The sequence below is a fragment of the Homo sapiens genome, chromosome 1 (assembly GCF_000001405.40).
Source record: "Homo sapiens chromosome 1, GRCh38.p14 Primary Assembly".
Taxonomy (NCBI): Eukaryota; Metazoa; Chordata; class Mammalia; order Primates; family Hominidae; genus Homo; species Homo sapiens.
This window is the reverse complement of record NC_000001.11, coordinates 161,541,087-161,556,775: the sequence shown is the minus strand read 5'-3', so window position 1 is coordinate 161,556,775 and position 15,689 is coordinate 161,541,087. Positions and strand designations below refer to the sequence as shown.

Below are 15,689 nucleotides of genomic sequence, written 5' to 3'. Positions count from 1 at the left end.
TTGTCTTCCATGAAGCCAATCCCTGGTGCCAAAAATTTTGGAGACCACTGGATTAGAAGACACCCAGTTGGTGCCCACTGCTGAATTGCTTGCTTGCTTGCTTGCTTGCTTGCCAGTGGAGAGAAATCCCCACATATCTGTTGTCAGAAATGTGTTGTGAGAGCATAGTGGGAGGAACTGAGTTTGTTTTTTCTACAGTTACAGCAATAGGTAACTGGAATTCAACTGCTGGACTATACCAAAGACTGCCAGGCCAGCCTACCTTTCTCACAGCCTTCTTGACTACCTGTCTTGGATGAGCTCACTGAAAGCCCACATACCTTCATTCTAGCATTTCCTCAGTCTGGTTGAGCTGCTTTGGAGGTAATACAGGTTGTAGGACTTCCCTCCACTCCTGCTCAGGACCGTTTTCAGCAGGCTAATCAGACAGCAGTTGGCACTGAGTACAACTGGAGAAATGTTATCAGCACTGAAGACTGCTCCAGCTACAAATGCACAGCGACCCACCTCAGCTGGACCTTTGGCATTGCTTGGCAATCCTTACAACTGTTTGGAATTCTTGGTAATTCTTGTACATACAAACAGTCGGCTCCTTCTCCCATGCACCACAATGGCCATTCTCAACTCTGGTGTTCTCAAACCCCCACCACAACTGTTACCCACTCTTTCTCGACAAGTGTCTTTGACTCCTCCTTAACCAAGAAAATCAGGACCAGCAGATGTGGATGGTCACTCAACATCTGAAAATGGATTTGCATATGTACCCCCTCAGCTCCTGCCTTCAGCTCAGAGCGAGAGGTAATCCGTATCCAGTTCACAGCCAACTCCCTGTCCATGTCCCATTCCCATCTCCTCAGGACCCACACTTGCTTCTCTAGGTGTTCCGTCCCTGTTAGGCATCCAACTTCTCCCACCCTGCTGGCTTCTTCCCAAAGACCTATAACCAAGCTCGTATCTTTCACTTAAAAGAAAACAAAAACTCCCATTCTCTTGTAACTACCTTTGCAGAATTGTGTCTGAAACAGTGAGAGAGATCTAACTTAATTGACTCCATCTTGCTTCTAACCTCCAAGCTGTCTTTCCTCATTCTTGGGCATAGGCTGAACTAACTTTGGGAGAAACTTAGTTTATAGTTTGTGGTTTAAAGCAAAGATGATAACAGCCCTTTCCCAGGGCAGACCTCCTTTTTTTCTGAAGACTAGATTGTCTTTGTAGGACTAACATTAGCCACAAGATTGGAAATTATGGTTTAGGAATCATGCAGGTGGAGGCTACAAGATTCTGACCCTTCCTAAGCACTGATCCTAAGATCGGTGCTTGAGATATTTTGCAGACCCTGCACTTGATGGATCACCTGGCAACACCCAGATCAATAAACTGGCTCATCTGATCTTGTGGTGCCCACCCAGGAACTGACTCAGAACAAGAAGACAGCTTCAACTTCCTGTGATTTCATCCCTGACCAATCAACACTCCTGGCTCACTGGCTTCCCCTCCACCAACCAAGTTGTCCTTAAAAACTCTGCTCCCCGAATGCTCTGGAAGACTGATTTGAGTAATAATAAAACTCCAGTCTCTGGCTCAGTCAGCTCTGCATGAATTACTCTTTCTCTATTGCAATTCCCCTGTCTTGATGAATCAGCTCTGTCTAGTTACCATCCTCCACTTCTCCTTTCTTATTGTGTCACTTAGGGCTCTGGGTTATAAACAACTTTATCAGAATCCAGATCTTTTAAGTAGAGGAAAAAGATTTATTGGATGGAAACTAGAGGAGGTGAGCCCATCCCACTGCTGTGATGACTGGGACCCAACCATCTCCCTCTCCTAGAAGTGAATCTCCCTTATGAGTAAACAAGTGTCACTTATTCAGGATTCATCTCAGAAGAGACTCTAATGGGCCAAACCTCAGTTATATGCCTGTCCTCTGTCTGCCTGTATCAGTTAGCTAGCACTTTTATAACAAAGTACCACAGACTGGGTGGCTTAAACAACAAAAATGTATTTTCTTACAGTTCTTGAGGCTGCAAGTCCAAGATCAAGGTGTTGACAGGGTTGGTTTCTTTTAATTTTTTTTTTAAAAATTTTATTTTAGATTTAGGGGTATGCGTGCAGGTTTGCTACATAGGTAAACTCCTATCACGGGGGTTTGTTGCACACATTATTTCATCACCCATGTACTAAGCCTAGTTACTCAATAGTTATTTTTTCCGATCCTCTCCCTCTTCCTACCCTCCACCCTCAAGTAGGCCCCAGTGTGTCTGTTGTTCTTCCTTTGAGTCCATAGGGTTGGTTTCTTCTGAGGCCTCTCTCCTTGGCTTGTAGGTGTCCATCTTCTCCCTGTATGGGTCTGTGTCCCAACTAACAAGGACATCAGTCATATTGGACTAGAGCCCACCTAATGATTTTATTTTAACTTAATTACCTCTTTAAAGGCTCTATATCCACATATAGTCACATCCTGAGGTATAGGGGGTTCCACATGTGGACTTCAACATATGAACTGGGAGAGACAAAATTTAGTCCTTAATAGTGCCCCAAAGTGGGGAAAAGGAAGATCTGGACCCTCGGGTTTCCATAGTAGAAAGCAATCACTGCTTTCTATTAAGTACTCACAGTGGGGCTTCTCCAGAAAGAATGATATGCTAATAAGAAGGGGAGGAGGAAGTGATCCTGGACAGCCAGATGATATGTGCACTATTCCTTCATAATGGAGATTCTGAAGAGGAGAAGCACTTGACTAAACACTTTTTCATTCCTACTCCGTCTTCAACCAAAAGCTGTCAAACTTCTGTTTCTCAGCCCCAGCCCCTGAAATTGCTCAGGAAAAGGTCATTAATAGTTCCTTGATTGCCATATTTCAATCAAACTCTTGTTTGAATTCTTTTCTACAACATTAATACTGTTACTGTTGACTACTCCTTCCTTGAAGATCTGTTCCCACTAAACTTCCTTGTTCCCTCCTCTTCAGCCCCTCCTATACAAACTCCTTTGTCAGCTATTTTTCCTGTGCACGCTTCAAAAATGTTTGCATGTCAAGTTTCTGTCATTGACTCTCTCCTCTTCTCCTCTCCCTCTCAATCCCTCCTTCCTTTCCCTCACTGTTTCCCTTTAATTCTCTCTCAATACTCTTACAGTTTCAGAGATCTTATCCTTACTTTATCTTAACCTAGGATCTCTGGATGGATTCAAATAGAGCTTCTTAAATTAAAGGAAACATAATGTGTATATTTGCATCCTTTCTTGGGAGAAGGCCCAAAGGTTTTTATCAGAGGTTTGAAACCTCAACCGTGTTGGTGCCTCCTAAATTGTGTCTTTTGTCAAGACCTGTCTTCTGAGTTCCAGGGCCATGTGTCTCACTGCCTACTGGAAATCTTCACCTGAAACCTTCACAGCTACCTCAAACTCAATAACATCAAAAGCTGAAATCATTGTCTCTCCCTCCCAAAGCCTGCTCATCTTCCCATTTTTCTTTTGTCCATGAAAGCTACTGCCATCCTCCTTATCACCCAAATTAGAAATCCGAGCATCACCCAGACCTCTCCCCCTTCATCACCCCTCAGCCAATCACTCACCAAGTCTTGTCCATCCTTCCTTCCTAACTTCTCTCCTGGATGCTTCCATTGCATATCCACTTTTTAAACAGAGTGGCTCTTGTCTCAACTAGACTGTTGAAATAATCTTCCAACTTTTCCCTCCACCTTCCATCTCTCTCCCCTCTAACTCATTCCTTGGACTGCTGTCAGAGTACTTTTCATAAAATATAAAACAGATCTTGTGATTCCCCAGTCTAAAGCCTTTTTATTAGTTCCCATTACCTTTTAGAATAAAATATGTACTGTTCATCCTGACACACAAAACTCTTCGTGATAAATACTAATTGAGTGCCTAGTATGTGCCTGCCCTTGTGCTAAATGTTGAGGGTACAGGGGTAAACAAGGTGAACAGCTTCCCTGCTCTCCAAGACCTTTCAGTCCACAAATGCAATGAGTTTACAGAGGAGAAGCACAAGCTCCTAAAGGAGTTGGGGTGGGGTTGGGGGTCAGAACCTAATTTAGAAAATTGAGGAAGGTCTCAACCTCCCATCTTGCATTTACAATAGTAATCAGCAGGTGTGGTACCAAATATGGAACCAACAATTTTATCTGCATTATCTCATTTAAGCCATGAGTGCCATTATTGTTAGCCTCACTTTACAGATAAGGAAACTGAGGGCTAGAAGGTTAAATAAGTGGCAGAGTTGGGATTTCCTCCAGATTCCTGTGAGACCCAGACATCTTAATCCTTTTGGAACCTGTGCTTCTCCTTTGTAGTACTCACTACACTTGTGGAACTACATCCAACTACACTTGTGGAACTACAGCCAGCTCTGCAAACATGACAGTCTACTTCACTCCAAGTCTTTGCTCATGCTGCTCCTCTTGCCTGGAATGCCTATTTCTCTCAAAAATCTTCCTGCTGAATATTTTGCGATCTAATTAAAGTGTTCTCTCTTCCATGTACACTCCTCCCTCAGATAGAATTAGCCACTGTCTTCTTTGTGCATACACAGCATTTCATAAATACTGTCACAGTCCCTCTAGCACTTCAAATACTTATCTGATGTTCTCCCCCTAAGAAACTGTAAGTCCTAGAGGATGACAATCAACTGAATTCCATAGTCAGAAACTTCTGCTGTGCCTGGCCTTCCAATGAGAAAAGGAGAGAAGAGGAGGGGAAGGAAGAAAAAGGGAAGGAGAAGAAAGAAAAGCAAACATGAAGATAAACACTTCAATATATGATATCCCAAGACCATCTACCCTTTTGTAAAAATTTTGCTTTTTTTTTTTCCCCCCCAAGAGTCAGGGTCTCACTCTGTCGCCCAGGCTAGAGTGCAGTGCCATGAACATAACTCACTGTAGCCTCTAACTCCGGGGCTCAAGCAATCCTCCTGCCTCAGCCTCCTGGGTAGCTGGGACTACAGGCATGCACCACCACATCTGGCTATTATTATTATTACTATATTAGTAGAGATGGGGTCTTTCTATGTTGCCTAGGCTGGTCTCAAATTCCTGGCCTCAAGCAATTCTTCCACCTCACATTGGCCTTCCAAAGTGCTGGGATTACAATAAGCCACCATAGGCCAAAATTTTGCATTTTATCCATTACTGTAAAATTAACCCTTAGAAATCCAACAACACTCAATTTGAGAATTGTTCAACAACCACTTAATGAAAACCCCCTGAAAGCTTCCCATCCTGTTGCAGTCCCTTTCTCTCCTCCTGTGCTCTCTCCTCTTCTTCCTATCTAGCCCACCCTTTTGGCAGCTAAGAATTCCTCCCTCCATTGGAGAGCCACAGACCAAAGAGGAGTCAAATAAGAAAATAAGACCTCAAAGAAGGAAAACAAAGTGAAGGCCTTGCATCAGAAGTCACGTGGCAGAAAGCCACCTGGATATCTGAAAAGAAGAAAGAATTGAGGGATATCCGCTTTTTGCCTCAGAGACCATCCTTAGCCCTGAAGGCTTTGTTTCTGCTTTAGGTTTCCCAGATAAGCATCCGAAGTGCTACAGCAAGGAACTTTAAGTTTCCAGATACTTGTCTGGATTTTGCAAGGCGTAGATGAGTCACTTGAGAAGGAGAACTGGAATGGCTGCCTGGGTTCATTTCCATTGTCCAATCCAAGGGCCTGTGGAGAAGGGGCTGCTGCAAGACTCTGTGTGTGGCGGGGGGAGGGGTGGGTACGTGGATGGCAATGGGAGGATCAATTAACTCCACCCAGGAGCCAAATGAAACACACAAATAAAAAACAAAACCTGAGTAGTGGTTTTTAGGTCATTCTGGAGTAGAAAGAGCATTCATTTATAGCAAAGGTTGGCGGGCACCTGTGTCAGCCCCTGCCTCCACTCCACCCCTAACAAGTATCAGGTGCCCACACGGGCCTGCTGCTCGCCTCCTGGGCTTTTCTAAGCCAGGTGAGACCTGTCCCAGATGTCCACGAATCCACTGGGGGAGTGGCACTATCAAGCAGAGTCATCTGATTTTCTGCCTGGGACCTGGACCATTGTGAGAGTAACCAACGTGGGGTTACGGGGGAGAATCTGGAGAGAAGAGAAGAGGTTAACAACCCTCCCACTTCCTGGCCACCCCCCTCCACCTTTTCTGGTAAGGAGCCCTGGAGCCCCGGCTCCTAGGCTGACAGACCAGCCCAGATCCAGTGGCCCGGAGGGGCCTGAGCTAAATCCGCAGGACCTGGGTAACACGAGGAAGGTAAAGAGTTCCTGTCCTCGCCCCTCCCCACCCCCACCTTTTCTGTGATCTTTTCAGCCTTTCGCTGGTGACTTGTTCTTCCAGGGCCCATTTCTCTACCCTACCTGGGTTTCTTCTAACCTGGAAATCTAATGATCAAATCACACTAAAAAGTCAGTAGCTCCTGTGGATTACATATCCCAGGAGCATATAGATTTTGAATTTTGAATTTTGAAAGAAATTCTGCGTGGAGATAATATTGAGGCAGAGACACTGCTAGTGGTCTGAAGATTTGAAAGGACCACTTTCTGTGTGCAGGCAGGGCCTCAGCTGGAGATAGATGGGTCTGGGCGAGGCAGGAGAGTGACAAGTTCTGAGGTGAAATGAAGGAAGCCCTCAGAGAATGCTCCTCCCACCTTGAATCTCATCCCCAGGGTCTCACTGTCCCATTCTTGGTGCTGGGTGGATCCAAATCCAGGAGATGGGGCAAGCATCCTGGGATGGCTGAGGGCACACTCTGGCAGATTCTGTGTGTGTCCTCAGATGCTCAGCCACAGACCTTTGAGGGAGTAAAGGGGGCAGACCCACCCACCTTGCCTCCAGGCTCTTTCCTTCCTGGTCCTGTTCTATGGTGGGGCTCCCTTGCCAGACTTCAGACTGAGAAGTCAGATGAAGTTTCAAGAAAAGGAAATTGGTGGGTGACAGAGATGGGTGGAGGGGCTGGGGAAAGGCTGTTTACTTCCTCCTGTCTAGTCGGTTTGGTCCCTTTAGGGCTCCGGATATCTTTGGTGACTTGTCCACTCCAGTGTGGCATCATGTGGCAGCTGCTCCTCCCAACTGCTCTGCTACTTCTAGGTAAGTCAGGGTCTCCCTGGTTGAGGGAGAAGTTTGAGATGCCTTGGGTTCAGCAGAGACCCCTTTTCAGGCTACGAATGAGACTCCCACGAAGGGATGGGACCCCTCACCACATCTATAGCTGTGGATTGAGCTCCTAGGACAAGCCAAGATGGGGCTAGAAATGAGGAGAATGCTGGTTCCAATTGGGGCATACTCATGAGTGAGGCCAGTCACTTCACCCCTCTGGGTCCCAGAATCACTCTGTGGAACCAAAGAGCTTCGACTAGATGGTCCCTAGGGTCTGTCTCTTTCAGTTTGACATTCCAGGGTTCTCCTCTATGATTTTCAATTTCTACCCTTTCTTGTGGGGATATGGGTTGAGGCTCTTTCTGTAGCTTGGTTCAGGGAAATTCAACCTGTACCCTTAATTTGTGAGTTTGCACAGGGAGCAAGGGGTAAGGGAGCAGTGTTGAAAATAGGGATTTGTGTTGACAGTGGCGCAAGAGGCATGAACAGTGGAGACCAGAGAGCAGGTAGCAAGGTTTCCACCAGAAACATCCTGATTCTTGGGAAAATTGGGCTCCTGGGGCAGAGGAGGGCAGGGGAGTTTTAAACTCACTCTATGTTCTAATCACTCTGATCTCTGCCCCTACTCAATATTTGATTTATCTTTTTTCTTGCAGTTTCAGCTGGCATGCGGACTGGTGAGTCAGCTTCATGGTCTTGGATTGACCCAGTGGGGCACATATGGGGACAAAGGCCATAAGATATTGGGAAATGCTTGTTGAATGGGAAAATGCTGATGTGGGGTTAGCAGGGATAGTTCCTCCAACACAGCAGAACTTGGCCCTGTGCTTCTCTGGCCAGCTTTCCTTAAGATACTGAACAGGCCAAAAATGGGGCCAAGATGCTCTAAGACTGAGCCACCAAGCATGGGTTTGCAATGAGCTCATTCTGGCTTTGAGGCTCCCTGGGAATGGCAGTGTAGAGCCTGCTCCTCTCCCTGTCCTCACCCCACATTATCTTGGCTCCTCAGAAGATCTCCCAAAGGCTGTGGTGTTCCTGGAGCCTCAATGGTACAGGGTGCTCGAGAAGGACAGTGTGACTCTGAAGTGCCAGGGAGCCTACTCCCCTGAGGACAATTCCACACAGTGGTTTCACAATGAGAGCCTCATCTCAAGCCAGGCCTCGAGCTACTTCATTGACGCTGCCACAGTCGACGACAGTGGAGAGTACAGGTGCCAGACAAACCTCTCCACCCTCAGTGACCCGGTGCAGCTAGAAGTCCATATCGGTGAGTTGATGAAGGGGAAGAGGAAAATCACCAATAAAGGGTGAAACAAAGGGTCCTGAAATACTTGGTAAGAGCCAGAGATGATATTCTTAGAGATAAAAGCTAAGATGAGATGATGTGTGGTCCCACTGAATGGTATCAGAGTTGTAGTCCTAGCTCTAAGTAGGTCTTGGGCAAAATGTCAAAGCCTGTCAGACAGTAGATATAGGACTGCTGCATTGCACAATTCCAAGAATCCCCATATGGAGTGCATACAATGTGAATGTGTCATGTGAAGGTTAGGCCATGGCATAGATGCTCAATAATAGTTATTTATATATTTATTTTCATTTTTTTTAATTTTATTTTTTGAGACAGAGTATCACTCTGTCACCCAGGCTGGAGTGCAATGCGGCAATCTCAGCTCACTGCAACTTCTGCCCCCTTGGGTTGTAGTGATTCTCCTGCCTCAGCCTCCCGAGTAGCTGAGATTACAGGCACCCGCCACCACGCCCAGCTAATTTTTGTATTTTTAGTAGAGACAGGGTTTCACCATGTTGGTCAGTCTGGTCTCAAACTCCTGACCTCAGGTGATTCACCAGCCTTGGCTTCCCAAAGTGCTGGGACTACAGGCGTGAGCCACCACACCTGGCCAATAATATTTATTGAATAAATTAATGAATTTGGTGTTAGGACCTCAATCTCCTTCTCGCTCTCAGACATGTAATGCCCTAAGCCACCTCCCAAAGCAATCCTAGTGGCCTAGCATCATATCTTTCTGTCTCCTCATCAATGCTATACTCAAACCTATAATTAAGCATAAATTTGGTAATGTGATAGCTCTTCCAATAGAGGCAGATACATGTTCAGCCTGCACATTAATCATGACATGAAAGTTCTTGTGTACTATTAACAGAATATAGACGTCAGACACAGGTAGGAGAAATATTTTGAAGGCAGAGGTCTTTCCTGGTGTCCCTACAATCTTACCACATAGGCTGGTCCCTGCAGTGTCGCCCTGCAAACCTAACTCTACTTCCACGGCTGTTCCATTCATACAATGTTTATGGGTGGAACAAGCTTTGGGGGAAGAAGGGCATAAGGAGGTGGATCTGCAAGAGAGCTCCATGGAATTGGGCCTCTGAAACTGATTTTTGTGGCTCTTTGGCCTCTGACAGTACCACTCAACTGACATGGTCTTCACTCTCCAGAGCTACAAGAAGATATGTCCATTTCTAGCTAGGTAAGAGATGTCCACCTACAACCAAATAAAATGGGGGAATTACCAAGAGAAAGCAATAGAAAAATCAAGTCTAAGAGTTACTAGTTTGCCTTGAACTTGGCTCTAGAAACTGGCTTTAGAAGTCTAGCCAATCAAGGCTATATTAAACTGTGACCATGAGAATTAGCTTCACCAGGTAAACTTCTGAGCATCCTTTAATCCTTTAGGACCCATTTCACTTATGTCCTCCTCTGAGAAGCATTTTTTACTTCTTTTTTTGTTTGTTTGTTTGTGTTTGTTTTTGTTTTTGTTTTTGAGACAGAGTCTCTCTCTGTCACCCAAGCTGGAGTGCAGTGGCGCAATCTTGGCTCACTGCAACCTCCACCTCCCGGGTTCAAGCAATTCTCCTGCCTCAGCCTCCCAAGTAGCTGGGACTACAGGTGCATGCCACCACGCCCGGCTAATTTTTTGTATTTTTAGTAGAGACAGGGTTTCGCAGCGTTAGCCAGGATGGTCTTGATCTCCTGACTTCATGATCTGCCCACCTCGGCCTCCCAAAGTACTAGGATTACAGATGTGAGCCACCGCGCCCAGCCTGCATTTTTTACTTCTTTCAGGCAGAATTTCTTTATTCCAATCTAGTCAGCCCCGCAGTCCTTTATTCTTAGCCTGTTGTAGCACTTGTCATATTGTATTGTGATTATTTCTGAATATTTATGTTTCTATGTCTAGACTGTAGATTCTTTGAGGCTGAGAACTATATGTCCCATCATCTGGGTATCTCCAGTCCACAGTGTGTCATACATAGTGAGTGCTTGATGAAATATCACTTGAAGGAATATACATATGGACATTCACTGGGTCCATGACAGGATAGATTCGAACAAGAATGTTCCTCCAAAGGCCACCAGACTATATACTAACCATGACTTTATGCTAATAATGATTCATCTCTCTGCTGAAAAAGTAAGTGGATAGATAGGCACATGGCTTCTTTTGATAAATGATATCTCTTAATAGGTAATGAAGATTACTTTCTGTTTGGCAAATCTTTGTGGTAGAGAATCATGACCAACACACGTCCTACCAATTTTGTTTAGCATCAGGTAGTAGATTTTTTAAATTATAGTAATTCAAGCTGAGAATGTAGATTTAAAAAATAAAATTATTGTAAATTTTGTTTTGTTCTTATTACAAAAGTCATTTGGGGTCAATTTCAAAAATATATAAAAGTAAACAGGAGAAATTTAAAATGTCCTTCAGTCCCACTCCTTCAGAGAAAACCCCTGTTAATATGTAAGTGCATATCCTTCTTTTTTCTGTGCATAATACTTTTTAAAATATTTGAAGTATTATGCTTTTTTAACTTAAAATTGTCTCATGAATATTTTCTTATGCCATTATAATACTTACCTATAACATCATTATTTTTTAATTATTCAGGCCCTTTCCCGACCATGACCTCATGTTCTCTCTTTGTGAAGTCTGATTACTTGGTGACATGATCGTGAGAATAAGCTCTGGCGATATAAGAATTTCCTCTCTTGAAGGCCATGCTCAGTAAATTACTTGGTGACATGATCGTGAGAATAAGCTCTGGCGATACAAGAATTTCCTCTCTTGAAGGCCATGCTCAGTAATAAAGTTGGTCTCACCGAGGCCCTGTGACACCTTAGAAACCACGAATTGCCAGGCTGAGCAATACCAGTCCCGCCCTTCCCCTCCCTGGTGTTTACATTGAGTTCTCCTTCACAATTTCTGCAGCCACTCCGTGGCCACCGTCACCTTATTCCTGACTGCCACAAGAGTCTTTCAATATTCCTTTGATTGCCTATTCCTTCTGAAATCTACCTTTTCCTCTAATAGGGCAATTCATCATTTTCAAATGCAATTTTTACTCTGATCTAGAACTTACTGTGAATCCTTGTCACCTGCCACAGCAAATCTAAGTCTAGCACTTAAGGATCCTGCAGATATGCTCATCGTTGCTTCTCACTTACCTCATTGCTTAGTCCCTCTGCTCTAACCCTGTGTGTTGATCACATGTGTGTGTGTCCCTCTTCCCCATTAGACAAAGGTCTTGGTATGACTTCAGTTCTCTTGCAGGGCCCCATCAGCTCTTCCCCAAAGGGAGCTATGCAGGGTTGACTCCCAATCTGGCTTTCCCTTATGTCTCAGGATCTGGGTGGTACGTGGCCCCTTCACAAAGCTCTGCACTGAGAGCTGAGGCCTCCCGGGCCTGGGGTGTCTGTGTCTTTCAGGCTGGCTGTTGCTCCAGGCCCCTCGGTGGGTGTTCAAGGAGGAAGACCCTATTCACCTGAGGTGTCACAGCTGGAAGAACACTGCTCTGCATAAGGTCACATATTTACAGAATGGCAAAGGCAGGAAGTATTTTCATCATAATTCTGACTTCTACATTCCAAAAGCCACACTCAAAGACAGCGGCTCCTACTTCTGCAGGGGGCTTTTTGGGAGTAAAAATGTGTCTTCAGAGACTGTGAACATCACCATCACTCAAGGTGAGACATGTGCCACCCTGGAATGCCCAGGGACGCCTGTGTGTGGAACCTGCAATCACACTGGGAAGTTGAGTTGGGAGGAGATTCCTGATTCTTACACGCACTTCTTCATATGTGGTTCCCTCCTGGTGATCACCAGGAGGTCCCCAAAAGTCCCTGATTGCAGGGTAGGTTTGCAGCTCTGTTTCAGTCCATTCTTTTGGGGTAGCTAGGAGGTGTCATTCACTCTGCAGCATGATGGCAGGAGCAGAAGCCACATCTCCTCCCCAATAAATACCTCTGTCTTTCCTTACGCTAATCACACCCACGGTGTCATATGTTCCTATCGTGCTGGCCTCCTTCTTATCCAAGCCTTTTAGCCACGATCCAAACTGGCAGGAGCCCCTCATCCCCTCACAGAAAGAGCCCAGAACCTGGGTTCTGGCCCTGCAGCTAATTAACCATCTGACCAGAGGTGAGCCACTTAGTCTCTCTGAACCCCAATTTCTTCTTCCGTAACAAAAATAAGCTGACATTTATTGGGCACCTTTCAGTGTGCTAGACTCTGTGCTAAACAATTCTTTACATGCACCTGGTTTGACTATCACAGTAGACCTTCACAACATGAGATAGGTAATATTCCATTTTACAGATGAAGTAACCGAGGTGCAAAAATAAATAAATAAGTTTCCCTAAGGTCACATCAAAGACTTCAAAGCCTGTATATTTAACCAGTAAGTAAAAGATTTGAACAAGCACTAATATCCTATGATCCCATTAAGTCATCCACAAAACATCTCTAGGTTCTGTAGCACCAGCCTCCAGAATCAGAGCTCTAGAGTGGTGTGCCTGGACTTTCCAGTTTCACAGAACTTCTATCTGTAACTAGCCCAAGACATAAATTGTAAACAATTTGCATGTAGAAAGGCAGCAAAACACCTTTTGAGATTTTGACACTACAATGCCATAATTTGTACAAAAATAATTTCATGACACTTTAAACTGAAAGTAAATACTCCCAAGTGGTTAGGGAAAGAGAGCAAATAAAGCAAATGGGGTAACATGTAAACAATGAGTGGATCTGGGTAAAGGATATACGAGATTAAACTATTCTGGTCATTTTTTTTTTAAGTTTGGAAATATATCAAAATCAAGAGTTTAAAAAATTGAAATGCAAAATCAACAAATTTGTCCCAGTTTCTAGACCATAGCATTGTCTGACAATTTCTTAACTGTCACACAAAACCCAGCTTACAACCTAACTTGTTAACGCTCCCTGTCACATCTCTGTCAAACAAGCAGGAGCCTTTGCTCAGTGTTTGGTGAGCTGTCCTCTGCTCAGATAGCACTAAGATCAGGAACCAATGGGAGGAAGCAATACTTTCCCCCAGACTTCCCCACCATTCCTACCACTTGCCTGTTGGCTGTTGTCAAAGACTTTCTACTGGTGACCTCACTGTTTGTTCCAAATATCTGCCTTAGTGACTGTCATTTTTTTTCATCTCTCCACTTCTCCTAATAGGTTTGGCAGTGTCAACCATCTCATCATTCTTTCCACCTGGGTACCAAGTCTCTTTCTGCTTGGTGATGGTACTCCTTTTTGCAGTGGACACAGGACTATATTTCTCTGTGAAGACAAACATTCGAAGCTCAACAAGAGACTGGAAGGACCATAAATTTAAATGGAGAAAGGACCCTCAAGACAAATGACCCCCATCCCATGGGGGTAATAAGAGCAGTAGCAGCAGCATCTCTGAACATTTCTCTGGATTTGCAACCCCATCATCCTCAGGCCTCTCTACAAGCAGCAGGAAACATAGAACTCAGAGCCAGATCCCTTATCCAACTCTCGACTTTTCCTTGGTCTCCAGTGGAAGGGAAAAGCCCATGATCTTCAAGCAGGGAAGCCCCAGTGAGTAGCTGCATTCCTAGAAATTGAAGTTTCAGAGCTACACAAACACTTTTTCTGTCCCAACCGTTCCCTCACAGCAAAGCAACAATACAGGCTAGGGATGGTAATCCTTTAAACATACAAAAATTGCTCGTGTTATAAATTACCCAGTTTAGAGGGGAAAAAAAAACAATTATTCCTAAATAAATGGATAAGTAGAATTAATGGTTGAGGCAGGACCATACAGAGTGTGGGAACTGCTGGGGATCTAGGGAATTCAGTGGGACCAATGAAAGCATGGCTGAGAAATAGCAGGTAGTCCAGGATAGTCTAAGGGAGGTGTTCCCATCTGAGCCCAGAGATAAGGGTGTCTTCCTAGAACATTAGCCGTAGTGGAATTAACAGGAAATCATGAGGGTGACGTAGAATTGAGTCTTCCAGGGGACTCTATCAGAACTGGACCATCTCCAAGTATATAACGATGAGTCCTCTTAATGCTAGGAGTAGAAAATGGTCCTAGGAAGGGGACTGAGGATTGCGGTGGGGGGTGGGGTGGAAAAGAAAGTACAGAACAAACCCTGTGTCACTGTCCCAAGTTGCTAAGTGAACAGAACTATCTCAGCATCAGAATGAGAAAGCCTGAGAAGAAAGAACCAACCACAAGCACACAGGAAGGAAAGCGCAGGAGGTGAAAATGCTTTCTTGGCCAGGGTAGTAAGAATTAGAGGTTAATGCAGGGACTGTAAAACCACCTTTTCTGCTTCAATATCTAATTCCTGTGTAGCTTTGTTCATTGCATTTATTAAACAAATGTTGTATAACCAATACTAAATGTACTACTGAGCTTCGCTGAGTTAAGTTATGAAACTTTCAAATCCTTCATCATGTCAGTTCCAATGAGGTGGGGATGGAGAAGACAATTGTTGCTTATGAAAGAAAGCTTTAGCTGTCTCTGTTTTGTAAGCTTTAAGCGCAACATTTCTTGGTTCCAATAAAGCATTTTACAAGATCTTGCATGCTACTCTTAGATAGAAGATGGGAAAACCATGGTAATAAAATATGAATGATAAAATTCTTTCTTCTTCCCTTTGTCCAACATTGTAACAGAGATTGGTTTGGATTGGTAAGAAACACCCCCTCCTCCCAGCAACCATCTCACCACAACTCATATAAATTAGCCAGCTTGCTTTCCAAATCTTGCTGAGACAATTGGGCTAAGGAGGATTCTTATGGGAAGTATGGGATAGGAGGGTGAATAAGCATTAGAGATCGTTTTAGAGCATTGGGGCAGATAGGAGAAGGCACAGCTACACAGGAGGTAGAGGCCTGGGCAGAGGTAGAGGGTCAGCCTGATTGTATGAATTATGAGCTATATACCAAGACGATTCAAGCTAGATTGCATACATAAATATTACATAAGATTCCGACACGACACAGGTGCATTTGGAAACCTTGGACATTCAACTCACATTTATTTACTACCTACAATGTGCAAGCTTGAGTTCAGGTGCTGAAGATACCAGATGAACAACACAGGGTCATTCCCTGGAGAAGCTTTATTTCTAGTGAGAAAAACAGTTAAATAGGAAGAGAATGAAGAAAGGGCTGCAGAAAAGAGGCTTGATTTGGGGGGTGTGGTCATGAAGGATGAGTAGGAGTTCGCCAGGCAAAGAAGAGAAGAAAAGCCCAAGGTTCATAGGCAAAGATTCAAAAACCAGAGTGTGAGTTCAAGAAAGCAGTTTGG

At 44.4% G+C, this 15,689-nt stretch overlaps 1 protein-coding gene across 10 annotated transcripts, besides 1 other annotated feature; it reads left to right on the top strand.

Moving 5' to 3' along the window:
* FCGR3A (Fc gamma receptor IIIa) lies at window positions 6,039–15,017 on the top strand. Of its 10 annotated transcripts, none has more exons than NM_001386450.1 (6): window positions 6,039–6,140; window positions 6,996–7,079; window positions 7,745–7,765; window positions 8,101–8,355; window positions 11,818–12,075; window positions 13,577–15,017. In NM_001386450.1, the coding sequence occupies exons 2-6, from the start codon at window positions 7,040–7,042 to the stop codon at window positions 13,762–13,764; spliced, it is 762 nt and encodes a 253-aa protein (NP_001373379.1). In that variant the 5' UTR covers window positions 6,039–6,140; window positions 6,996–7,039; the 3' UTR covers window positions 13,765–15,017. The 10 variants fall into 10 exon arrangements, with proteins under 10 accessions (NP_001373379.1, NP_001316049.1, NP_001121065.1 ...); NM_001329120.2 differs by having other exon boundaries at window positions 8,098–8,355; NM_001127593.1 differs by lacking the exon at window positions 6,039–6,140 and adding an exon at window positions 6,153–6,245 and having other exon boundaries at window positions 6,978–7,079; window positions 8,098–8,355.
* Window positions 7,666–8,165: an enhancer, noted in NCBI's record as "H3K27ac hESC enhancer chr1:161518401-161518900 (GRCh37/hg19 assembly coordinates)". NCBI's record gives its function as "activates a minimal SCP1, AML or CMV promoter by ChIP-STARR-seq in naive H9 embryonic stem cells {active_cell/tissue: H9 hESC(naive)}" and the evidence as "EXISTENCE:reporter gene assay evidence [ECO:0000049][PMID:30033119]".